Here is a 1,965-nt window from a genome sequence, read left to right on the forward strand (position 1 = left end):
CAGGAGGCGGAGGTTGTAGTGAGCCATGCCGTTACACTCCAGCCTGGGTCACTGAGTGAGACTCTGTCTCAAAAAAAACCCCAAAAAAGCACAATGCAAAATTTGAATGAATGTTTAAGGATAAGTCTAGAAGAAATTTTACACTTGAAATTAAAATCTTGAGCTCTCTCTTTTTTGGTATTTAGTGCAAAATTTTGAAAATCATTATACTACACACAAGGGCAACACAAAACAGCTGAATAGGCTTAAGTTTCTAAATTATAATCACATATTTGTCAATCTCCCTATAACACTGCCCAGTTCTCTCTGATTGAATAGGGTGTTTTAAATTTCATGAGTCTTGTATTGACAATTAGCTCTTAGGTTCTATCTATAACTAGTTTTATCCATTAACATTTTTTCAAAATTAGAATTTATTATCTTTCTCTGACTAAAAAAAGGAGTACAAACTTATTGTGGAAAGTTTAAAAAATCTAGAGAAACATAAATTTAAAAATTGGAAGTGCCTTAAATTCATCAATTAGAAATAAGATTATTAACCTGCTATGTGCCTGGGCTACTTTATGAACTAGATAGTCAAAATCCTTGCCTTAAAGATATTCTTTTTCTTTATTCTTGTAGATATGAGTATTAACATAGACATAGATATACAAATACACACACACATTTTTATAAGATTGGGATACTACTAAACGTATTCTTTTATTAGGTGAATTTATTTAATAGTATGTTATAACTGTTATTGTGTTTTATTTTATTATATTTTTATCTACACCATAGTTGTTAAAAACTGCATGGTAATTTATTTTGGGGACATGATATATTATCTAATAAACCTCCAACTTATTGTTCGTTGTTTTCAATTTTTTATTCTTATAAACATACAGTGAATTTTTATAGACAAATTTTTCTGCATATCTATAATTATTCTTTTTGGATGAACTCTTTTCAGAGCAACATGATCCTCGTTTGGAGTCAAAGATTAAGGATATTCTCAAGGCTTTTGACCCATTGCTAAGTTGTATCCCAGAAAGATTTATACCAGCTTATATTTCCAAATGCAGTTTATGATGTGTATTTTCCCTTACCCTCAACAACATTAGGTATTTATTAAAAATTTTAAACCAATTTGTAGGTGAAAATTGGTTTCTTGTTTTAATATGCTTTTTTGATCTCTTATGAGGTCAAACATTTATTGGCCTCTGTAGTTCATCTTTTGTGAATTCCTTTTCTTGTCTGTCCCTTGGCCATATTTCTGTTGGGATGGTTAGCTTTTTCTTTTCTATTTGTACGGGTCTTTTTTTTTAAAGTATATAATGACTTTTTGCCTGACACTTATGATACAGCTATTTTTCCTAGTTTCTAACTTGCTTTTTCATTTACTTACTGAGGGTTTTCTTCTTTGAATTTTTGAATTGTATGTAGACACATTTATCAATAATTTTATAACTTCGGTTTCATAGCTTAGAAATTCCTCTACTACCTCTGCATCTATTATCTTTTTATTTCTTTCTAACTGAAGAATAACATCACCAAATGTGTTGGACACATTCTGAGTATCTTCCAGGTTTGAGAGAAGCCACATGATCCTTTAGTTTTCAGAAGAAGGAATTAAGGGGTCTTGGGGAGGTGATGTGCAGGCCTAGAGACAGAGATAGAGAGACAAATGGTAGATAGTGCTTTGAGGCATGCATATTTACTGGCTTTTCTTCCTAGAAAGGGGCAAGGCTCTAATCCAGTGGTTTTAGATTGGGCCCAAGAACTTGCATTTCTGACAAGTTCTGAATTGAGGCTTGAGGCTTCTCTAAGTGAGAACACTGGAATTAATGTAACAACCAATTTGAATTCATTTATTTCTTCCTTTTCTAATCTAATGACTTTCTCTACTTTGATATATTAAAATAAGCTTACATGACCTGAGCAAATATTTTCTGATCTCTGACCCCACTTGGCGACCACTCAAGG

This window comes from Homo sapiens, chromosome 7 (genome assembly GCF_000001405.40).
Source record: "Homo sapiens chromosome 7, GRCh38.p14 Primary Assembly".
Taxonomy (NCBI): domain Eukaryota; kingdom Metazoa; phylum Chordata; class Mammalia; order Primates; family Hominidae; genus Homo; species Homo sapiens.